Source organism: Homo sapiens, chromosome 10 (genome assembly GCF_000001405.40).
Source record: "Homo sapiens chromosome 10, GRCh38.p14 Primary Assembly".
NCBI lineage: Eukaryota > Metazoa > Chordata > Mammalia > Primates > Hominidae > Homo > Homo sapiens.
In genome coordinates, this window is record NC_000010.11 from 1145726 (window position 1) to 1169503 (window position 23778).

The 23778-nt window shown below is 50.1% G+C and overlaps 2 long non-coding RNA genes across 5 annotated transcripts, besides 4 other annotated features; one reads left to right on the top strand and one right to left on the bottom strand.

The window, feature by feature from the left end:
- Nucleotides 4822-5321: an enhancer, noted in NCBI's record as "H3K4me1 hESC enhancer chr10:1196487-1196986 (GRCh37/hg19 assembly coordinates)". NCBI's record gives its function as "activates a minimal SCP1, AML or CMV promoter by ChIP-STARR-seq in primed H9 embryonic stem cells {active_cell/tissue: H9 hESC(primed)}" and the evidence as "EXISTENCE:reporter gene assay evidence [ECO:0000049][PMID:30033119]".
- Nucleotides 7838-8339: an enhancer, noted in NCBI's record as "H3K4me1 hESC enhancer chr10:1199503-1200004 (GRCh37/hg19 assembly coordinates)". NCBI's record gives its function as "activates a minimal SCP1, AML or CMV promoter by ChIP-STARR-seq in primed H9 embryonic stem cells {active_cell/tissue: H9 hESC(primed)}" and the evidence as "EXISTENCE:reporter gene assay evidence [ECO:0000049][PMID:30033119]".
- Nucleotides 8340-8839: an enhancer, noted in NCBI's record as "H3K4me1 hESC enhancer chr10:1200005-1200504 (GRCh37/hg19 assembly coordinates)". NCBI's record gives its function as "activates a minimal SCP1, AML or CMV promoter by ChIP-STARR-seq in primed H9 embryonic stem cells {active_cell/tissue: H9 hESC(primed)}" and the evidence as "EXISTENCE:reporter gene assay evidence [ECO:0000049][PMID:30033119]".
- Nucleotides 9704-14037, bottom strand: LOC105376344 (uncharacterized). 4 transcript variants are annotated; one of them, XR_930535.3, is made up of 3 exons: nt 13539-14037; nt 11937-12343; nt 9704-11327 (listed from the first exon to the last, which is right to left on the bottom strand). It is a non-coding gene; the product is annotated as an uncharacterized LOC105376344 (long non-coding RNA). The 4 variants fall into 4 exon arrangements; XR_930533.3 differs by having other exon boundaries at nt 9704-11093; nt 13374-14037; XR_930532.3 differs by having other exon boundaries at nt 13374-14037.
- Nucleotides 10079-10969: an enhancer, noted in NCBI's record as "H3K4me1 hESC enhancer chr10:1201744-1202634 (GRCh37/hg19 assembly coordinates)". NCBI's record gives its function as "activates a minimal SCP1, AML or CMV promoter by ChIP-STARR-seq in primed H9 embryonic stem cells {active_cell/tissue: H9 hESC(primed)}" and the evidence as "EXISTENCE:reporter gene assay evidence [ECO:0000049][PMID:30033119]".
- Nucleotides 14038-14042: 5 nt separating the features above from the next.
- Nucleotides 14043-18947, top strand: LINC00200 (long intergenic non-protein coding RNA 200). The gene is made up of 3 exons (NR_015376.2): nt 14043-14265; nt 14828-14912; nt 16822-18947. It is a non-coding gene; the product is annotated as a long intergenic non-protein coding RNA 200 (long non-coding RNA).
- The last annotated feature ends 4831 nt before the right edge of the window (nt 18948-23778 follow it).

A 23778-nucleotide genomic window follows, 5' to 3' on the forward strand; every position in this document is an offset into this window, starting at 1 on the left:
TATGTTATTTGGACTTTTTTTTACAATTCCATTTTGATTTATTTATAGTGTTTATGAGTATACTGCTTCATATAATTTCTATTAGTTGCTTTAAGTATTACAATATACATACACAACATCACAATCTACTGGTATCAGTATCTGTCTTAGCACTTTGAGTGAAATGTACAAAACTTACTTTCAATTAGTTCAATTTGTTCTTTCTACTTTTAAAATATTGTCATGAGTATTGCTCTGACAATAAAATTGTCTCAAGTATTTGCTCTGCATACATCAACCACATCGGATGGTTTTCTCATTTTTGCTTCAACCATCAAATATGATTTTAAAAACTCATGAGGAAAAGAATAATGTGTCCTATTTATCCCTATTTTTACCTATTTATATGTTCTTCCTTCTTTTCTGAGGTCCCAAGTCTCCTCTTACTCTAATTTCCTTTCTGTTTGGAGAGCTTCCTTTAGCCACATTTTAAGTATAGGTCTACTAGCAACACATCCCTTTATATATTTTCATCTGTAAACATCTTTATTCCTCCCTCATTCCTGAGGGATATTTTTGCTGGATATAAAATTTAGGGTTGACAATCCTTTTAGCACTTGAAAACTGCTGTACCACCTTCTATTGGCCTCCATGGTTTCAGATTAGAAATCTGCTATATTTGAGTAGGTTTTCCACTGTTGGTAATATGCTGCTTCTTCTTGGCAGCTTTTTTTTTTCTTTTTCTTTTTTTGAGACGGAGTCGCGCTGTGTTGCCCAGGCTGGAGTGCAGTGGCATATCTTCGCTCACTGTAAGCTCTGCCTCCCAGGTTCACATCATTCTCCTGCCTCAGCCTCCCGCGTAGCTGGGACTACAGGTGCCTGCCACCATGCCCGGCTAATTTTTTGTATTTTTTTAGTAGAGACGGGGTTTCACCATGTTAGCCAGGATGGTCTCGATCTCCTGACCTCGTGATCGACCCACCTCGGCCTCCCAGAGTGCTGGGATTACAGGCTTGGCAGCTTTTAAACATGTTTTTATTAGTTTGTAGTCTTTAGAAGTTTAGTTACAATGTGTCTTGGCATGAATTTCTTTGGGTTTATCCTGCTTGGGACTTACCAAGATTCTTTAGTCTTTAGGTTTATGTCTTTTGCCAAATTTGGCCAATTTTCAGCTATGATTTCTTTGAATCATTTTCTCAGCCCCACACACTTTCTCCTGTCCTTCTGGGACTCTGATGGCATGAATTTTGATTTTGTTTTTGTTATTGTTACATTGGTCCTTGAAGCTCAGTTCATTTTTTTTTAAATCTATTTTTTTTCTCTGTTGGTCAGACTGTGTAGTTTCTATTGTTCTATCATGAAATTCACTGATCCTCTCTTTGGTATATTTATTCTGCCATTGAGCTCATGCATTGAGTTTTTTTTTTGTTTCAGTTGTATTTTGGGGTTCCACAATTTCTGTTTGATTCTTTTTGTATCTTCTATTTATTTGCTAAGTCTTTCTCCTTTTTCACTTTGTTCAAGAGTATTTGTAATTGTTATTGTCTTTGAGTGGGGGGTGATTCTGGTCCTGCAGGAGGGCACCTCTCAGGCCACTTGGTGTTGGCAGAATGCTCACTGTTTGCTAGTGCCACTCAGAAGGGTGGAGTGCATTTCCTCAAGTCTCCTGGTGCTTCTTAGTTTTTGGGAGGTGGGTGAGAAACCCTGAGTTGCAGGGTGGACAGTGCTTCCCCAGGCCTCACGGTGTGTGTAGGGGGAGGAGGGAGACCCTGGGCTTGTGAGGGGGAGAACATTTATCCAGGTCACCTGGTGTTGATGGGCCCTATTCATCCTTGCTGGCACCCCTGGGGGTGGGCACGGTTTGTGGTGGAAAGTCCTTCCAGCGCTGCCTGGTGGGCCCTGGGCCAGAAAGGTTTTCCTGTGCTGCCTGGTGCCTGTAGCTGTCCTGCTCAGTCCCTGTCTGTGTCACCTGATTCCTGCTGGTGTTGCCCGCTGGTGCTCTCCTGAGCCACTGGTGCCCATGGGTGTGGGGTGGGACGCTGGGCCTGTGGGTGGGGAGTGCTTTCTGGGCCACCCATGCCAGAGGGGCTCCTGGTTGTTCCAGCTGACGTGGCTGCTGAGGTGCTTCCCAGGGCCACTTGCTGGTGCTCAGTAGGAGTCAGTAGACCCCAGGACTGTGGGTGGAGACTCCACCAGACCACCCAGTGCTGCAGAGGCTCCTGGCTGACCTCTGCAGGCACCATGGACAGAGCAGAAAAGTATCCAAGAAAGATTGGGCTGGTTTCTGCCGCTTGGTGGGGTTGAGTAAGCTGGAGGTCTGGGCCTGGGCTGCCTTCTGCCCGCAGGTGGGGGTGGGAGCACTCGGATGCTGCCTTTCCTCAAGTCCTCAGGGCCTCCCCACTATCTGCTCTCCCCCTCCCACCTGTCAGACCCTTCCTTTGATTGTCACCTCATGGGGAGGAGCAGGGAGGGAGGAGTCTGTGCTGTCTCGTCAGAATCAGAAGTTGTTAAATCTTAACAGTGTCGTAGGAGGAAAAGTGGTTTTAAAGTTTGATGAAATCCAAATAATCAACTTTTTAAAAAGCCTTTAACAACTGTCTGTCTCCTGTGTAGGGGTTGTCAAACTTTCTTAAAGGGTCAGATAGTGAATATTTCAAGCTTTGCGGGCCATGTGATCTTGGCTGGAACTGTTTGAGTGCTGTGGTAGCATGAACACTACCATAGACAGTATGCAAATGAATGGGCGTGGCTGCATGAAAGCCACCATGAACAGTATGCAAATGGATGGGCGTAGCTGTGTCCCAGTAAAACTTTATTCAGATAAACACGCCGTGGGCTGGGTGTGGTGGCTCACACCTGTAATCCCAGCACTTTGGGAGGCTGAGGTGGGCAGATCACCTGAGGTCAGGAGTTCAAGACCAGCCTGGCCAACATGGCGAAACCCCGTCTCTGCTAAAAATACCAAAAAAATTAGCCGGGCATGGTGGATCTCAGCTACTCAGGAGGCTGAGGCAGGAGAACTGCTTGCTTGAACCCAGGAGGCAAAGATTGTAGTGAGCTGAGATTGGGCCACTGCACCTGAGCCGGGGCAAGAGTGAGGCTCCATCTCAAAAAAAAAAAAAAAAAAAAAAAGCCGTGGGATGGATCTGGCCCAGGGGCTGTGGTTTGCTGACCCCTGGTCTGTAGGATAAAACTGGGTGTGGCAGTTGACACCCCCATGATTGGGCCCTTGCAGTCTCTGTGGCTCTACCCAATTAGATGCTGACCTGAAGTCCTTCGTGCATTAGGCTGTGGACCACGCACCTGGAACAGGCTGTCTCCCTCTCCCTAGCCGTTCTGTGGACCATGGGCCTGGGACACGCTTTCTCCCTCTCCAGCCTCCTTCTGGAGAGAATGTGACTCACACATTAAGATTAAGCCTAAAGATCAGGCCACTATCAACCTTTTTGACCCCTCTGATGCTGGCACTCCCTCCAAATGTGTACCACAGTATCTGTGTCTGTAATATTTTACTGTCATCGTTTGTTATATTTTTACCATCATAGAGACTGTGGACCTATCGGGAACCACGTCTCTCTCCCGGCATGACACCTAACTTGTGGCAGCACTGACTGAAGAAGTGCTGACCTGTGTTCCATTCAGACTTAGTTAAAAAGAAAATGCTTGTCGGGTGACTGGAGGAGGACGGGTTCTTAAGCGAGTGGAACTTGGCCCGGTGGCGTTGCCTAAAGCTGCCGCCCTTCCTGGGCTTCTGCATCTCATGCTCATCTCCCAGGTTCCTGCCCCTCTCACCTCACCGGCCTAGGAGATAAGCGGCCTCCATCCCTTACAACTATGCACAGCATGGCAATTCCCCACAGAGACCGTCTTTTCCCCTTGATCCTAACTCAAAGCATAGGCAGTTTTCCCTGACTCCGTTTATGTTTTCTGCATAGGGTATTAGGGGCTAGTTATCTCCTCAGTACATTTCTCTATATCTTGAAAAGAAGCTTAATATACACAAAAGCAGCAACTACAATTATTCAGCTTATACATTGTCAGTAACCTGTCTTCCACCATATTATACATTGTCAGTAGCCTCTCTTCCACCATATTATACATTGTCAGTAGCCTCTCTTCCACCATATAACCTCACAGTTAGAACCATTACATTCCCATGGCGCGTCCTAGGCACAGTCTCTCTAGCCTTAGAAAGCTAACGTCATCTTAACCTTGCAGCCACAGCCAGCAGCTGTGAAGACCGGGGCCAGAGGAAGCTGAAGTGTGGTGAGCGGGTTGCTATGGCAGTTATCAGCACTTTCAAATATCACAGGGTGGAAATTGCTTCGCTCAGCAGTGTCCGTTTTAATCTGCACATTAGTCCTTTCTGCAAATCAGCGCATGGTAGGAACCTGATCTGCTGTTAGATTGAGTGGCTCCACGGTCCCTCTTTGTGGAGGGGGAGAGATAAGAGAGAGGGACAGTTCCCAACAACCTCTGCCTCTTCTGCCACCATGGATTCCGCTGACAGGAGAGGCTTTCTTGCCACTCAGGAGCCTGTGCGTCCTGGACAAGCTGGGACGAGAGCTGCTGGGCGGCGCACACCGGGGGCACAGGCCACTGGATCATGGTTGGCTTTGTCCTCAGGCTCCCTTCCCAGGGATGCTTCCCTCCTGATCCATCCTCAGACAGGTGGCCCCCTCCTGACTTCCCTCCATCACACACGTGTACACATGCACACACACGAGCACACACGAGCACACACGTGCACATGCACCACACAAAATGCACATACGCACACATGCACCACACAATACAACCATGTGAGCGTGCACATGTGAGCACACACACCACAGATATACATGCATATGAGCATGCACAGAGGTATCCACACACCACACACATACATGCACACGTGTGAGTGCACACATGTGCCCACAAACGACAGAGGCACCCTTGGCCCTGTTCTCTGCTCCAGCTGCAGAAGCCCCTGCCCCCGCTTTGATGGTGTGGTTGTGATTCACGGAAATAGTCAATCCAGTATCTGCCTCAGCCCAGGGCAGAGGGGCGTGACGGACAGACGCCCAGGCTTGAGCGAGTGTGCGTGCGGACGTCTGGGTGCGTGTGCTGCTGAGCATGGAGGGCCAACGGATCCACATGTGACAAGTGGAGCGCTGAGGTGGGCCTGGGCACTTTGTGGTGAAATTTGCAAAGGTCTATGAGACAAGAGGGAGCCCTGGAGAAGAGGCCCCGGAGCACCAGGTGTCCTAGAGGGAGGGTCAGAGATGGAGGCTGATGGTCACAGGAGAGAGGAAGAGGGCAGAGTGAGGAAGGATGGGAACGAAGAGGAGAAGATGGGGTGGACCAGCCGAGTCTGTGAAGGCCGAGGTGGGCGTGCAGCATCATTTTCTACCTTCACAAAATGTTCTCTATGAGAAGCACCAGTAGAGCAGTGAGGCTGTATCCTGAGAGCAGCATTGGGCTCTCTTAGTTATTCACAAAGGCCTGGACCCGGAGGGACTGAGTCCACGGAGTTCCTCCACGATTCCTCATTTCCTCCCGGGCGCTGGAGCCTGGTGAGCCAGGTGTGGCCACAACCCCTGGGATGAGTCAGTAAATCTGGGGCTTCCCACATCCATCTGTGGCATGGAGGGAGCCATCTCTGGACACTACCAGAATGTGGTCAAGAACCCAAAAGCCTCATGAGCAGGGGTGTGGTGGGGAGAGAAGAATTAATACTGCCTTTATCAGCCACTCCATCATGCATCAGGTAGCACCATTTACACCTCGTCCGGAGAATGCAGCCTTGTGGCTTGTTTGCAAAGAACAGTGCTTGTCCTGTAAGTCAGAGCCTCAAAGAATGAGTTGATTTCAGGTTCTGAAATATCTCTTATGTTTTGGTTCAGGAGTTTTAGTGAAATAAAAGATGGATCTAGTTTGAACTGGTTCAACAGGTAATCACAAGTTGAGCTGATTCATCTAGAAAAAAGATGACTTTCTGGGCTCTTTCATTCTTTAGTTTGGTTCACAGCCTCGTTAGACATTAACAGAGGAACCTAGTGAGGGTTAGTGTGGATAGGAGCGTGTGTAACCTGTGTGGCATGCAGCCTTCTCAGCTAAACATGGACCTCAACGCCCTTCCTACCATAGCAGCCACAAGCCAGAAACATCAGCCACTGTCTCTGGAGAGCGCCTGGCTATTTGGGTCTCATCTGTCTCCAAGATTTGATGGGTGATTCACTCAAGTACCAGTGCTGTTCACGAGAGCCTTCCAGGCGGGGGGTGTTGTGCAGCTTCTACGTGTGTTAAGAGTAGGGCCCAGGACTGCACCCAGCATTGACCTACAGTTATTTTTTGTTTTGTTTTATTTTATTTTTTTGAGACAGGGTCTCACTGTCACCCAGGCTGGAGTGCAGTGGCACAATCTCAGCTCACTGCAACCTCTGCCTCCTGGGTTCAAGCGATTCTCCTGCCTCACCCTCCCGAGTAGCTGGGATTACAGGCGCCTGCCACCAGGCCCAGCTAATTTTTGTATTTTTAGTAGAGACGGAGTTTCACCGTGTTGGCCAGGCTGGTCTGGAACTCCTGACCTCAGGTGATCTGCCCACCTGGGCCTCCCAAAGTGCTGGGATTACAGGTGTGAGCCACTGCGCCCGGCCTGACCCACAGTTGATGGTGGACCATGGGCTTTGATGCGTCAGTCTGGTGTCACCGTTGGAACTGCAGAAACTTTTATCTGGAGATGTGAACGGAAAAGGGGTTGAGTGTTCTGAGAGCCTTCTGCACGGGAGCAGCTCCAGTCTCAGTCCATATTCCACGGCTGACCACAGAACCTGCCAAGAGCTGTCCTCGGGAGCAGCAGGCGTCCAGCGTATCCTGCCGCCGCCTGACCCAGAAACTCCATGATTTTATGTCCTTTATCAAGCAGACAGAATTCTCCATGGTTGCTGTTGTTTAAAAGCTATGGCTCCTGATTAAAAAGTCATGAGCATGCCGTTAGCAGAGCTGAGCCCTCAGTTTAGGGAGCTGAGGATCGAGCATCTGATGTCCTTGCAGGAGGCAGGGCGTTCCCCAGATCCGAGGGGTTCAGATGCAGGACGGCCCAGCAGAGCAAGAGGATGTGTGCCCCACGGCACACAGGAGGCAGGGGGTTCCCCAGATCCGAGGGGTTCAGACGCTGGACGGCCCAGCAGAGAGGATGTGTGCCCCACGGCACACAGGAGGCAGGGGGTTCCCCAGATCCGAGGGGTTCAGACGCTGGACGGCCCAGCAGAGCCAGACAACATGTGCCCCACGGCACACCGAAGTGAACCACAGAGCAATGACTCTGAGACAGAACTATGAGGAAGAGGCAGAAGCTTTCTAACTCAGTCTCTCCTGGAATCCAACTTAAGAAGAGCCCTGCCCGGCCTGCACTCACCGTCAGCGCACTCCCACGCGTGCACACAGGGGTAGACAGTCACGGCTTCTGCACTGGATAACTGACGCCTTGCAGAGAAGTGACTGAGCTCACAGACCCACTTGGAGACATTAAACGTTGGCTTGGGCAGAGAATGGATCAGGAGCTCCTGACCACCCCAGTTCGATTCTCCAAACCTGAGAGTAGGCATTTGTGCTGACTGGCAGTACCCAGAGGGCCGACATCTGTTGCCTGCAAGGATTGACTAGGAAGCTGGACAGCTTTCAAGTACATCTAACAGTCATGGCAAGTCTAATGCTGGTAAATGGTGCAGAATCAATCATGCAGTCCAGTTTTGATACAGTTCTAAAACCTCATATTCCTGACTAAGGAAGCCAGAGGTAAAGGGACAATGGTCTCTTTCTTCCCCTGAAGTTATTTCTGTTAGCTGGTAAACCAGAGACCACATGAGAAAGAGAAGAAACAGGTTTTCTCGGAGGTCTTTCCGGTGTGCAAGGCCTGCCTAGACAAAATATGGTTCAAACTCCGCCAAAAATGTTCATAGAAGACACATTTGAGATCATTTGTTTTCTTCCTGCCTTTCTGGGAAAAAAAGAATTGCTTTGTTTTGTGAATATATGTACACATCAGGTATAAAAAAACACGTAGGCTTTGGTTTGTATTCAAAGACTTCCAGTGAAACTGCGATAGTCCAAATTGCACCGTGTTGTTTTTCAAGGAAACACTCAGTACAGCCACGCAGCCTGTGCAGGGCGACATCGTAGGGGCCTGGGGTGGGAAAGGGCAACACCACCGCACACCCCCACCCCACTGGTGTCTCTGTCCCTCCCACGGGCCCTGCCCGCCTGACTCAGACAAGGGCCAGCCTCAGTTCTGGCTGGAAAGAAGTCAGCCGTTCCCTCCCCATGTCTCCAGGTGCCTTCTCAGTCCTCCTGCACAACTTCGTTCTGTCTTTTCTCTCTTCTGTGCTGATCTGTTTCCCGTTGTTCTAATCGCTCCCCTTTTCTCTTCCCCAGGGCTCTGGCTCTCCAGGTCCCCCTCCGGCCTCTGTTACTCTCATTTGTCTCCCTTGCCTGCACTCGCTGGATTCTCACAATTCATCCCACACGGAGCACCTGATGGCCTTCCTGCCAGCGTCAGGGAGCAGGGCAGGGGCGTGAAACCCTGGGAAAGTGAATGGAAGCTCCCGGGGGGCTGCCCAACATGCGCCTTTGCAGATCTTCAAAGACGCTCGCCAGTGATGCCAGGACGAAACACTTTGCAAACTTCTCTTCTAAGAACAAACCTTCACCAGACATTATCTTTAGTTAAAAAGCCAGTATTTTAACTTTTTCTACCTATTGATTTTCTATCTATCGATAGCTTCTTATCAGGACAGTGTCCTGAGCAGTACAGGAAAATATGTACTTATACAGGATATTATAGAATTTTCTGAGAAATAGGAAAATCTATTTATTGGCGAAAGCTGCTGTGTGAGTTTCCTGGGGCTGCTGTCACGAACACAGACTCAGAGGCTGAACACAGGTTTGTTATTTCACAGTCTGTGGGTTAGAGTCCGACGCGGTGTCCGCTCAGTGATAGCCGGGCCCCTTCTGGCAGCTCTGGGGAGATGCCATTTCCCTTCCAGCCTCCGGGACCCCCTTGGAGGTCCCTCCCATCCTCACAGCCACAGATGGCCCCACCTACCCCATCCTTCCCTTGTCCAGTCTCCCTCTGCCTCTTCTGCCAGCTTCCATGTAAGGGCCCTTGAGGTTACATGGGGTACACCCAGATGATCCAGGACAGCCTCCCTATTTCAAGGTCAGCTGGGTAGCTACCTCCTTTCCCTGAAGCTTTAATCCCTCACCATGGAGTGTTACGCAGTTGCAGGGCCTGGGATGGGGATGAGGATGTTTTTGAGGGACTATGACTGCCTACCACAGCTGGTATAAATCTTAGATTACACTGAAATAAATTCCTTTTCATGACCAGCATATGAACCAAACTAATCATATAATGTTTGAAAAGATCACTGTAGCTTTAAATTCTTTTATGTACTTATAACATGTTAACATCTGCTAGGCTTTGTAATAACTCTTTCATCTTCAACCATTCTCTAAAAATGTGTTTTCTAGCCTGTATTAGCTCTCTTTTTCTCTCCAAACCAGATAACAGTTGTTTAGCAGGAGAAGCCTTTCTCTGGGTCTCAATTTCCGTCTCTAAAATGAGATTTTTAGACTTCCTACCAATTTGTCATAAACATCAGAGTGATAAAATATGGTCTCTGTTGCAAAAAAATTTGCAATATTTAAGGGGAGATAAGAGATCTCCCCAAATGTTGAGAAATTTTGCAAGATTGCTTATATTTTTATTTGACCTTCTCTTTATAGAAATATCAGTGTTGAAGGGCGTGTAGTTCATATCCAAGAATTTACCTACAAGTGTTAGCCTAGGTCAGGACCTGCCTTTTCTAGGAAGGCCTGAGCTGTCTTTGGAGTGGGTGTCAGTGCAGGCTGGGGAGCCGGAGGAAGTGGGCCTTTCACCTGGCTGTGTTCATACTTTGCTGCAGCAGCTGCGTGGTTATCGGGTTGTTTGGGAGTTTCGCAGTTTCTAGTTCTTCCTGAGGCACTGTGTGGGATTCCATCTCATCCCCACGCAGTGTGACATTTGGGAACCAGACAAGCGGTCTGTTGCGTTAGAAGGTGCCCAGGGGAAGATCCATGGACAACCCTTCACCTGGAGATTTAAAATCTACAATAAAGAAAGCATCTTGAGACCCCTGAGATGCGTACCTGGTTTTATGGCCAGAGCAGCGTCCGCATCTTCATCTCTCTCCATTGGCTCTCCCGCGATGAGTGCCTCCTCATCTCATGGGGGCCCTCCCCTCTGCCCCCAGCCGCATGGCCTCTTTTCGATTCTTCTCTGTAACCTGCTATGGTTTCTGCAGAGGCGCCCCACCTGCCTGCCATGGAGGGCCCTTCCTGCCTCCCCTCTGATCCTGTCAGGACAGGCCTGGAGCTTGTCAGTCACTTATGTCCTTTCCTGTCCTGCGTCCGAGTCATCAGCTTGGGTCTCCAGCTACCCTGGGGATGTGGAGTGTTGGGGACGAGGACAGGGCTGCCTGACCCCAGCCACCCTCAGGCTCCGCCCCATGTCCCAGGGCAGGCTGGGTTCTGTGGCTGTGCACCCTGGGCCCTGTATCCCCAGTGCAGGCTAGGCTCTGTGGCTGTGGCCCCTCGGTCCCGTGTCCCCAGGGCTGGGCTCTGTGGCTCTGCCCCCCCACCCAGGTCCCGTGTCCCCAGGGCTGGGCTCTGTGGCTGTGCCTCCCGGGCCCCCCCCGGCACTGCACGGTGCTGTCATTGGCCTGTCAGGGCCCTGATGCTGTTTGCTTTGAAACATGCCCATCAACAGCCTCTGTTAAAACTTCCCAGGCTTTCGATGCCCCGATTGAAGGAGCCCACAGGCCTGCCTGGGCCTCATTCATTAACCTTGTCCACACTGTTCAGAAGCACAGAGACACTCATCAGCTCAGTGGCGAGGGTTTTGTTTCTGAGCCTGAGAAGCATGTTTGCTGCTGCATCTGATTTCCTTCAATAAACTTGAGATCACGTGATGGTGAGACGGGTCAGGGACTCCAAGCAGGGTCTGGAGAAGAGGTGACTGTCACGCAGCACTGATGGCAATGCTCACGCTGCACACGTGTGTCCTCAGTGGGTCCGTGTGGTTGAGTGTTCTCCTGTGCGAAGGGAGCCACCTTTAGAGGGCCCCATGGCTGTTTGTGTGGACACCTTCTAGAGGAAAAGGCCCCTGGGGTCTGTGATGCGCATCTGAGGAACAGGGCTTCCCTGGGGCAGGGGTCCTAGGAGGTCATCTTCTCGCTCCTCTTTTTCTTTCTCTTCTCACTTTGCTCTCAAGGTCAGGGGCACTGGGGGGTGCAGCCACGTCTTCACAGCCCTGTTGTGGGGGCGGCCTTGGGTGGAAGAGGCCGCGTGGGTGCTGGAGCCGGCCGAGGGTCCCATCCCATCACCGCCCTCGAGTGACCACAGCAATCAGCACACACCCCAAAAGCACCCTGACAGTCACTACCAGCAAAACACACTCGAGAGAGGGTTTTGCATCACGACACGCTCACCACGGAGGCGAACAGCTCCCGAGTGATCCCGTGTGTGTGTGTGCAGCATGTGTGCACCTGAGAGAAACAGACAGGGAGAGAGACAGAGACAGGCAGGGAGAGACAGAGATAGGGAGAGACAGAGACGACAGGAAAGACAGAGAGACAGAGTGAGATAATAAGATACAGAGAGAGAGATGGACAGGGAGAGGCAGGTAGGGAAGGACAGAGAGACAGGGAGATACAGAGAGAGACAGGGACAGAGAGAGGTGGGGAGAGACAGAGAGGCAGGAGACAGACAGGGAGAGACACAGAGAGAGACAGGGACAGTAAGAAATAGAGATAGAGACAGGGAGAGACATCTAACTCTAAATGTGGCAGAGGCTGGTGGGTGTGATCAGGGTCAGGGGGCATGTAGGGGGTGGCGAGCAGAGGTGCTGGGGTCTGTGTGGGAAGTGAACGACTTACCAAGCTCAAAGGCAGGAATGGAAGATCCCCTGTATGGAGAGGCCGCTGTTGACTTGCAGGTTGACAGCTGACTCCTTCTTTTTCACCTGCCACAGCCCCTGTATAGGGACCAATCATAATTTTTTCACTGAAACATGTGCAGGCAATCATGGGGAGAGGAAATGGCCATTTGGGGGTGGGGGGAGACTTGGAGAAAACCAGGCAGAGCTCTTGGGTTTTGAAGCATAGGGGAGCTTCCTAGGCTTTTGAGAGGGGGACCAGTGCGTTGCAGTTATTTCTGAGGAAGAACCATCTTCACCGGCTCATCCAGGATGGAGGGTGGAGGAGGAGCTGTCACGGCCAAGGGACTGAGGAGATGCTCGTGATGCCACCTCAGGATTCTGCAGAACCTGGCCTCGAACTGAACTCTGGAGAGAAAGAATCAATGATGACTGCAAAATTTTGAGAGTGGAGAACCGAGGAAGAAGGAATTGAAAAGTAAAAAAGGGAAAAAAAAGATGATTGAGTTCAGTTTTCCAAATGTCAGATTTCCAATCTATGAGGGACGTGGCTAACGTTTCCTCCAACAGTCATCGAAAGCAGGGTCGCCTTTGGCTGGCGCGGCGTGAGGGCCGCACCAGGGCAACAGAGAGTGGCCCGCTCAATGCCACGTGACCTGCACAGCCACAGGGTTCCATTTCCTTCACGTTTTTTTTCCTTTCTTTCCTTCCTTCCTTATCTCCCTCCCTCCCTCCCTCCCTCCCTTTCTCTCTTTTCCTCCCCTTCCTTTCCTTTTCCTTCCTTCCTCTCCTCCCCTCTCTTCTTTTCTTTCTTGGAGTCTCACTCTATTGCCCAGGCTGGAGTGCAATGACACAATCTCCGCTCATTGCAACCTCCACCTCCTGGGGTCAAGCGATTCTCCTACCTCAGCCTCCTGAGTAGCTGGGATCACAGGTGCATGCCACCATGCCCGGCTAATTTTTGTATTTTTAATAGAGATGGGGTTTCACCATGCTGGCCAGGCTGGTCTGGAGCTCCGGACCTCGTGATCCGCCTGCCTCAGCCTCCTAAAGTGCTGTGATTACAGGTGTGAGCCACCGCGCCCAGCCTCCTTCACTTTTTTTCAAAAGCGAGAGCACCCTCATGTACACTGGGAGCTCACTTGAGCACCTTGGTGCTTCACCAGTGAAGGAGGGCTTGGGAGCCGCTTTGACCGTCATTAAAATAGCATTTCAATGATAATACATCAAAAATGTAGTAATATGAAAACTGAAAAACTCCAGTGATGTTTCAAAGCAATGCAGTTTAAAAAAACCAATTCAATCCATTAACCAAAATAAACTTGGGGGAAACAACGCATTTTCTATGCTGGCAAGCAGATGGCCAAGACTGCGTCTGTCTGGGGTGAAAATGCAGGTTGCATCCTGTAGGAAGCCAGCATAGGGACGGGCTGCTCACCTCCCAGGGCGGCAAGGCAGCCGCTGACTCCAGCAGGCCTTGAAACCTCCCCTGCAGACGTAAGAGCATCGTCTCAGGCAGCGCGGCCGCCAAGGTCTCACTGTATCATTCCAAAGCGGGCGAATTTCGAAACATCCAGCTGCTGGCAGCAATAGCAGAACCCACCATGAGGCTCCAGGCATTCGGATGCCGCCAGCGAGGCCAGCAAGCCCACCTCTCCCTGAGCTGCAGTTCGGCTTTCTTCCTCCACAAGCAGGGACGTGGCTTCAGGAACCCGCTGGAGGAGACAAGGGGCCTCCGTGGTCTCAGCCCTCGCTTTGCGCATGGGCTCTGGCCTCGGCACCTGGGCATCTCCATCCTCCCGAGGGCAGTCGGAGGCTGAATGTCTTCAACAGGAGCACAGGCAGGAGAGAGAGAGCTCAGATGTGCTCGAGGCCGGGGTCCACCCCTGTTCTCCTGTGAGAGGGAGGCTGTGAAAATCCAGGAGACAACATCAAAGCGTTGTTTTCCAACACACTGGCCTGCGCGCCCTACGCTTTATGCAGATGAGGGATGGCGCAAGCACAGGCCTGCGCGCAGGGCTTTAGGCAGATGAGGGATGACGCAGGCACAGGCCTGAGCGTCGCACGCTTTGCGTAGATGAGGGATGGCGCCGGCGCAGGCCTGAGCGTCGCACGCTTTGCGTAGATGAGGGATGACGCAGGCACAGGCCTGAGCGTCGCACGCTTTGCGTAGATGAGGGATGGCGCCGGCGCAGGCCTGCGCGCCACGCGCTTTAGGTGGATGAGGGATGGCGCAGGTGCAGGCCTGCGCGCCTCACGCTTTATGTACATGAGGGATGAGGCAGCACAGGAATTGGCACAACCTGAAGTCAGCTCTGCAGCTTTCCAAGGTATGAATGCCCGGGGAGCCAGCGCAGACCCCAGCACACCCCCTGGGCCCAGTGTCCCTGGAAAAGGACATTTCAGCTGAGCTAGGAAGGCTGAGAACAGTTTCCAAAGATACCTGTGATTCAGGTCTCCATTTGTGTCCCAAATGAAAGCGAGTGAAATGAAATATATATATATATAGTTTTTGAGGTTTTGACAGACCCTAAGTCATAGTAGTTTAAAGTAGACAAAAACTATTTTCCTCCCCAATGTGAAACTGTTTTAATTAGTGAGGATTAGTTTCAATGGTGAATGATAGAAAACCCCAAATAATAGAGGCCAAAACCCTTGCCATTTGGAGTGTCGTCAGCATTTCAGCAGGAGATGATGTAAGTCACAAGCCCGGGCTCTCTGGTCAGAGCTTGCATTTTGACAAGATCTGCAGGTGACTTATAGGCATGCTAAGCTTTGAAATAAAAGGGGGGTTTACTTCTCTCTCATATTTAAGTCTGGAAATGATCTCCCAACACTCAGTATTTGCCCCAGGAAGTCAGCAAGCCAGGATTTTTTTTTTTCATTTTCCAGCTTCGTTCTGCGTGTCCTGTACTCAACAGTCATCTCATGCTGCAGGGTGGCTGCGTGTGCTCCGTACATCACACCCATATTTCAGGTAGGGACGGTTCCCGGAGGGTGCTCAGCACCATGCCGACTACTGCTGGCTGGCACGTTCGCACGTGGCCATGTCAGCTCCAAGGAGGATGCTGACATCCTGCTGGCTGGCACGTTCGCACGTGTCCATGTTAGCTGCGAGGGCCATGCCGACATCCTGCTGGCTGGCACTTCCACAGGTAGCCATGTTAGCTGAGAGGGCGATGCCAACATCTTGCTGGCTGGCACGTTTGCACGCGGCCATGTTAGCTGCGAGGACAATGCTTCTGCAACTTTTGGTTTCTTCCCTTTCATCCTCCCACCCCTGACCGTTTTTGCCTGGGAGCAAGTGCCTAATAAATTACCTGCACTCAAATCTTTGGCTCAGAGACTTTCCGAGAGAACCCAAGCTGAGGCAGACAATGAAATCAACACTACCAGCCACTTAGCTGCCAGCTGGGTGGAGAGTGGGCTGCTCTTCCAAGACGCTTTTCAGCCTCTGAAGGCTCATTTCCAGAAGGTCCTGTCTATCTGGGCTACTTGCTTCCAGAGCAGTTGCATCTGGCTGGATAGCTAATGAGCGATAAGGCCTGCAAACCTCAAGCCACATCTTTAAAGATGAGGGCCCTGATGTTCCACAGTGTGCGACGTTACTGGGGTCCAGCCAGTTATGTTCTGGGAGCTGCCTGAATGAAAATCAATTTGTTATTTTAGTTGGTTGGCTTGTTTAAAAAAAAATTAAATAACAAGAAATAAGAAAAAACGTGCAATGGCTTTGAGGTAGAACAGAAAATCCAGTGAGCCCTCTCTGTGCCTCTGGCAGAAGAAACTGTGAAGATTTGCATTTAGAAAAACGCCTCCTCAACTTTGGCGGCACCTGATGGTTCATGGTTCCTAAAATTAGAAAATGCTAGAGCCTTGGTTCTTTTTTTTTTTTTTTTGACGGAGTCTCACTCTGTCACCAGGCTGGAGTGCAGTGGTGTGATCTTGGCTCACTGCAACCTCCACCTCCTGGATTCAAGTGATTCTCCTGCCTCAGCCTCCCGAGTAGCTGGGACTACAGGCGCCCGCCACCATGCCTGGCTGATTTTTGCATTTTTAGTAGAGATGGGGTTTCACCATGTTGGCCAGGATGGTCTCGATCTCTTGACCTCGTGATCCACCCGCCTTGGCCTCCCAAAGTGCTGGGATTACAGGCGTGAGCCACTGCGGGAGCCTTGCTTCTATGCGAGTATTTCGGAGACAATTAGACAAACATCCCACAGCCCCATTTTGAAGCCTGGCATTGTGTTGGCTGCAGTGAATTCTGGGGGTGGAGGTGGCTGGAGGGAAAGAGTTGGGAGTCTTGTTTTGTTTTGTGTTTCCTGGAGAGTTTTGGGTTCTGCGGGATAATATGTGCTTGCAGGTGCAGCAGGAGTAGCATTCTCATTTCTCACGGCAGTTCAGTCCCTGAGCAGACGGGAGAGGTGAAATAGAAACACACATTACAGAAGGGACATGCTTTCTTAAGGGCACGGGGACCGTGACACATTGCTTTGATGAACGGTGATGGAGTCACACATGGGGAAATTCAACATGGACACACCAGTCTCGCTATGGAGACATCTGTGTTGTATGGGAGCTAATGGCTTTGAATGAGCCCATATTCATTTTTCTAGCAGTTTTGATACTAACATAAAGAGAGAATGTGTGTGGACAGAGGAGGCTGTCCTGCACGGACTCTGGGTGTACTTTGTGCCAGTGACATTTTGTTCCAGAGTGATTTTGCTTGTTCCAGTTTTTCTGAAAGGAAAGCTTCCCCACAGTTTTGGGGACTGCTGTTTGTCTCATGCCACATGTGAGGATTTGTGGGGTCCACAGTCTGCGACTGTGCTGTCCAGCATCGATTCCATTCACACTGGTTCTTACTTTCAAAGTCTATTCTGTTACAGGGAGAAGACTGCACATATAACACAGCTCTGCATGGAAAACCTTCCGCCTGGAGGGGTGGCTTCCTAGAGGTGTGGCGTTGCCCTCTGTCTTGAACAGGCTGTGAGCCGTTTTGTCATTTGGGGTTTCTAGATGCAAACAGCAGAAGCTGCTGGCCAATTACCAAAGGGAACGTGCTGTTAGGATATCAGGGCCTGGGAGCTGCAGCAATGTGGGCTGACAGCAGAGAGCTAAGGCACTTTCCGAGGTGACGAGCTGGGCTGCTATGCTGGAGACGGCTGGGCAGAAGCAGTTAGCAGGGCATTTCCTTGTGTCCTTATCTCAAGAGTCACAGTTTCAGGAGTGAGCATCTCAGAGGTCAGGGTTCATTCACATGCCACCTCCCTTCTCACTGTGTCATTGGGGAGGGGCCGTCTGGACCCTCTGGCTCCTGTGGCAAGAAATGGTCCCATCAAGTCATCCAAGGGCCTGGAAGCCTCCCAAGGAAAGCAGGAGGGCTGGGTGCTGAGCAGCGTCCAGCAGCAAAGGTAGGCTCCAGCCCCGCAGGTGTGGCTGCGCCATCCCAGGGAACGTGCCCCAGCAAGTGCTGGTGCTGCTCTCACTACAGGTGGGGTTGGTTTCACTGGACAGGTGGCACTTCCTCACCTCTTGCCCTCTGGACCCACGGCAGGCACTTTCCAGGGCACATCACGTGGGTGTGCGGTCTGGCTGCTGGGTCCACGCGGGTTCTCAATCATGACCTGGCTTGCAAGCTCTTTCCACAGTTGGATAAATGAAGCCGTTGGGGAAGTATCCGCAAACTCTTACAGTGAGTATGTGATAATGACACACGCGTGGCCCTTCTAAGACCTCCGCTAGGCATTATCAGTGACTGTGCTCGTGAGCGCTGACCTCCGCTAGGCGTTATCAGGGACTGTGCTCGTGAGCGCCGACCTCCGCTAGGCGTTATCAGGGACTGTGCTCGTGAGCGCGGACCTCCGCTAGGCGATATCAGGGACTGTGCTCATGAGGGCGGACTTTCACCAGCCACGCTTCCGAGGAGTGGAGTCTTTCTCAGCTCTGCCTCTCCAAGATGACCATCTTGTGAAGACGATGCGTTCTTTATACACAAGTTCTGTGTGTGTGTGTGTGTGTTCCACACACAGGACCAAAGTTGAGATAGGCGCACATTTTCTTGGTCCCACTTGTGGCCCCAGTCGGCTGTCAGAAGTGGGTGTGCTCCACATGTACCCACCATGTCAGGGCACAGTGCTCACATTTCACACCTCAGCAGGTGCCTTGATGTTGACCAGAGGCCCCAAAATCATCTCTTTCTATGACTTCTAGATCTTAGATTCCCAGGAACTGGGAAATGCAGTCAGTATCTTTTGGGTCCAAGAAACTTTGTCAGAGCCCTTGTGGGAGAACCATAGATTCTCACCAGATAAACAGAAGAGCTTCGTGTTAGAGAAACCCGCCTGTCTCCCCACATTCTCAGTTTTCTGGAGAGCAGCTGAAAGCCATCTGGGTGGAGATTAAGAGCTCCAACCGTGTAGCTTTGATGTATCGGGCAAGTTGCTTAAGCTCTTTAATGCTGTTTCCTCATTTATTGTGTGAGGCCAAAAATACCCATTCCTTAAAGTTGTGAGGATTAAAAACAGTAATGAAAAGTGAGTGGCAAGTGCCGAGTACACAGTCAAGTACCTGATACTTTTTAGTGTAAGGTAAGTAGCAAGAAAGCATGAAATTTATTTTCATTTACTCTTACTACATGTGGTAAACCATCTATGCACAGAGCACTGCATTGGGTGCCATGAATGACAGAATAAGAGTACCAGGTGCATGAAAAGCTTAAAAGACAAATGAGACAGAGCTAGGCTGCAGAAGACTTAAAAAGTTGATGTATTTAACTTTTAATGGACACACTGTACATGTTTATGGGGTACGATTTGTTGTTTCCATGCATATCTGTGTTGTGTAATGATCCAATCAGGGTAGTGTGTGTGCCCATTTCCTCAAGGGTGGATCATTATGTGTATCATCGTGCATCATCATGTATCATGCATGTACCATCATCATGCATCATTGTGCATCATCATGCCTGTATCATTATGTATCACCTCATGCATATATTATAATGTATCACCTCATGCGTGTATTATCATGTATCACCATGCATGTATTGTGCATGTGCCATCATCATGCATCATTGTGCATCATCATGCCTGTATCATTAATCACCTCATGCATATATTATAATGTGTCACCTCATGCGTGTTTTATCATGTATCACCATGCATGTATTGTGCATGTACCATCATCATGCATCATTGTGCATCATCATGTCTGTATCATTAATCACCTCATGCATATATTATAATGTGTCACCTCATGCGTGTATTATCATGTATCACCATGCATGTATTGTGCATGTACCATCATCATGCATCATTAGGCATCATTGTGCATGTATCATCACCTCATGCATGTATTATGTATCACCTCATGCATGTATCATGCATGTACCATCATCATGTATCATTATGCATCATTGTGCATGTATCACTGTGTATCATGCATGTGTCATCATGCATCGCCCCATGCGTGTATCATTTCTTTGTGGTGAGAACACTCAGAAGCCTCTCATCTCGCTATCTTGTCATATATGCTATTTTATTGTTAACCAAAGTCAGCCTATTGTGCAGTAGAACAATCTCTCCTCATCCCCTGTCCTCATCCTCCCCTCCCAAGCTTCCATAACCACTGTTTACTCTCTGCTCCTAGGAGATCAACTTAAAATTTTGTGTTATTTTTGGATTTCACATACAAGAAATCCATACAAGAGCTCCATATGAGATCGCTCAGTACCTGTTTCTCTGTACCTGGCTTATTTCGCTTAACATGATGTCCAAGCTCATCCATATTGTCACAGATGCTGGGATATCATTTTTTTCATGGGAGAATGGTATTCCATTGTGTATCTACACCACATTTTCTTTATTCATTCTCCGTTGTTGGGCACCAAGGGCGATTCCATACCTTGGTGATTATGAACAGTGCTGCGATAAGTGTGGGGGTGCCGATGTCTCCTCAACCCATGGATTTCCTGTCACCTGGGTCTTTACCCAGCAATGGGTTGCTGAGTCCCATGGTAGTTCTATTTGTGTTTTTTTGAGGAACCTCTCTGCTGTTTTCCTGAGTGGCTGTAGAGAGCTATAGAACTTTAGGTCTGTGAGAGATAAGTCCTCCAGTACACATGCCATTTTCAGAAGGGCAAACTGTAGCCCAGGAAGGTCAGGTGCCTTGACCAAGGCAGGCACAGTGAGAAAGAGGCAGTGTTAGGACCGCAACTGATTTTCCTCTCCAGTCTCTTTTGTGAAGATTGGATGCTAAGGTCATATAGGAAGCACTATGGAATATGTAGGAGGTGCTCAGTCTGTTTTGTGAAGATTGTATGCCAAGGTCATATGGGAAGCACTATGCATTATGTAGTAGGTGCTGTGTGCCATACATTAAGATTACATTGTAAATAGCAGGCACTATGTATTGTATATTAGCATGATGCACTGGGTCCTGTTGTCTGGGAGCCTGGCACCTGGCAGCTTCAAAGAACTTACAAGGTCCACAGGAAGGAACCTGGGACAGCCCAGGGAGCATCACTGAAAGAATTGGCCTGGAACAGAAGCCCCACAGCTCACCTGGGGGGAGCAGGGGGAGGATAGGGGTGAGGAGGGAGAGGACCAGGGGAGCAGCGGGAGGACCAGGGGTGCAGGACGAGCACTGGGGGTGCACGGGAGAGCAGGGTGCAAGGACCTTGCTGGCTGAGAAGACAGCGGGAATGGCGGGTCCTGGGAGAGGGGAGGAGGGGAGGCAGGCCACCAGCCACCCTGACTTCAGCCAGGAGACCCATTTCAGAGGCTCAAAGGGTGGAGATGGTGCAGCCATAGTGGGAAGCTGAGCCCCATGCTGGATGCTCAGATTGAGGGGGCTCCTGAGGGGCTGCGTTCCTCTCTCCAGGGGCCGTGGGACGGTGGCTGCTCATCTCACAGGTATTTATTGGGTTTTTCACCACCTGCCAGGACTTTGCTGCCCACGTCACACATTTCATGTAACCTGTAGGTGTAGAGGCCTCATTTTCAGACAAAGATGAACTAAGAAAGTGTCTTCTCGGAGGTCACGGCTGGAGCCAGATGGTCAGGCTCAGGCTGGGGCTGGCTTCCCTCGATGTGATGCACGGCTCCCATGTCACGTTTCCCTGACTATCAGGAGCTCCCAGAGGCCAAGGATGGGGTGGCCGCCTGGACAATTCAGACCTAAGGAAGGGCTCCTGGCCTCTTCCCTGAGAGCCTCTAAGCTGACTGCTCTCTTCCTGCTCAGCAGCTCATGATCCCCGGTGGCTTCCTTGAGCTGGGACTTGACTGAAACCCCTGGGACTGGCCCTCCAGCCACCCTGACTTCAGGGGGTCGAGGTGCTCACTGGGCCAGTGCTCAGGAGGCTCCGTGCCAGCTGGAACACCGGGAAACCCTCTATCTGAATCTTTGACCCAGGGAGGAGCCTGGAGAGGTGACGTCCCGGCAGGCCTCTCCCGCAAAACCCAGAATCAGAAGTGGCCACACCAGGTCCGGCACCCACGGCAGCAGCAGGAGCCATTTCTGGGACAACTTTGGGGATATACTTGTCCTTCCAAGTGAAAGGAGCTTAAAAAGACCCCTGAGCAGGAGAGAAAAAGTATCTTCAAAGAGAACTCCCTTCATCTTGAAGAAAGTGTCTGCGCTAGCCTCTTGGCCATTGCGCCGCAGTAGAATCTTAGGCTCCGTCACTCCTGTGACTTAATTCAATTGGCATCGGTATTTTGAAAATAATGATTTTTCCTAATTGTAAATGTGAAATGTATTATAGAAACGTCGTCCACAAGCCTCTCACTCAGAGAGAGACACCGATAACTGTTTCTTTCCATGGAGTACATTCCACCGTCCCGTTTTCCCACCACACCGCGTGGCCTGACGCTTTCCTCTGTCATGAACGGCTCTGATACAACGTGAGATGAAATTCCATCTCAGACATGCACTGTGATCACTCACCCCTCACTCCTCAATGCCTGTGTGTCATTGAGCACCTCACCTGTGCTATATATTTCTCTTTAGGGTCACAAAAGAATTGCTCTGTAATCTCTGTGGGCAAGGAGATTTCTCCCGAGTTTGATTGGTTTTTCTGTTTTCTTAGGATAGAAATTTTTCTAGCAGTCATTGGTCTATTGAAAACACAAATAAGCTTCACTTCATACACTAGAAAACTTCATAATATAAGGTTTATATTTGCCATGAGAGGAAACAAAATGTTGTCTTAAATGCATTCACGTACCCTAAGAAAAATGGTATGAAACGGTCAAGGAAAAGTTCCTTCTGATAGTAAAAAATTCACCCCCTTATTAAACCAACAATGAAGTTGCACTAGATTAGAGTTTAGTTCCGAAACTCTGTGCTTTTAGATATTTGGTCCGTTAGGATTTCCTGGTGGGGGGCACACGCGCGTAAGTCTCTTGATGGTGGGGCTCTGGTTCTCTGGCCGAGACCACAGATGTGTCTCCAGGCAGGTACTTCCTCTGCAAGTGTCTGATGACCACAGTGAGGTGGGTGTGTTGATAATAATCTACTGTCATAGACACCTTACCTTATTAATACTGCTAAACCAGGAAGGGCACAATTGATATTCTCAGGTTTTTTAATCCTTTAAGAAGAAAAGATAATTAAAAAAATCTTTTCACTCAAGAAGCATACGATAGAATATGGTGATACAGACAAAGGGTAGGCCCACTGATTCGAAAATTACAGATTGAATCCCTGAGACAAATATCTCCCCTGCTTTCAGGTAGATTACTGTCTACAGGTGGGATAACCATGTATAAAATTATGTCAAATTGTGTTGTGGTATGTTTTGATTCCTTTGAAATAAGGGCTTCTCCTTTATCCACACCACTATCAATGAAGAGTTATTGACACTCTATTAGCCAATCATAACAACCATTATTTATTAGTGACTATTACATATCAGATATTTTACACACTTTATTTCTAGTCTTCCAAAAACCCTGCATGAGAGCTGCTGTATTTTTTTTTTTTTGAGAAGGAGTTTCTCTCTTATTGCCCAGGCTGCAGTAAAATGGCGCAATCTGAGCTCACTGCAACCTCTACCTCCTGGGTTCAAGCGATTCTCCTGCCTCAGTCTCCCAAGTAGCTGGGATTACAGGTGCCACCACACCTGGCTAATTTTGTATTTTTAGTGGAGACGGGGTTGCACCGTGTTGGCCAGGCTGTTCTCGAACTTCCGACCTCAGGTGATCCACCCGCCTCGGTCTCCCAAAGTTCTGGGATTACAGGTGTGAGCCACTGCACCCGGCCTGAGCTGCTGCTGTTCTTACCTGATAGACAGGAAAGCACATTGGAGGTATTAGTTGGCCAGGTGGTGGGGCTAGGCTGCACATCCAGGCCGACTTTTCTCCACACGGCTGTAAGAATCCCACCGCCAGCAGCACCTCCCAGAGGATCGCACTGTCCAGGCGCTAATGAGTGCTTTTAGGTACAACTTGCTGTGTTCTGTCTCCGTATGGCCAAATTAAGCATTCAGTTTTAATTAAACTAATAAGAGGTGTCATTGGATATGATTAGAAAGGTGTGGCATGTTCTGACACCCAGTAGTTTTAAGTATCTTCATCTGCTGCGTGGCTTACGTGCACCATAATGCCAGGACCCAGTGAGTTAGGTTCCCGCCGGGCACAGGGCTGGCTCACAGGGTCCCAGCGGGGGTGGAGGTGTGCACGGGTGGCCTTGGCATGTCCTCAGCCTCCCCTGTGGGCTGTGGGCTGCAGGCTGGGCTGTGCCTGTATCCGGGCAGCTTACCGAGGGCTCCCTGGTATGACTTCCTTTGAAGCCCATAGCGCCTCGTGGGGCCGCTAGAAGTTTGTGTTGCAGGAGGAACCGAT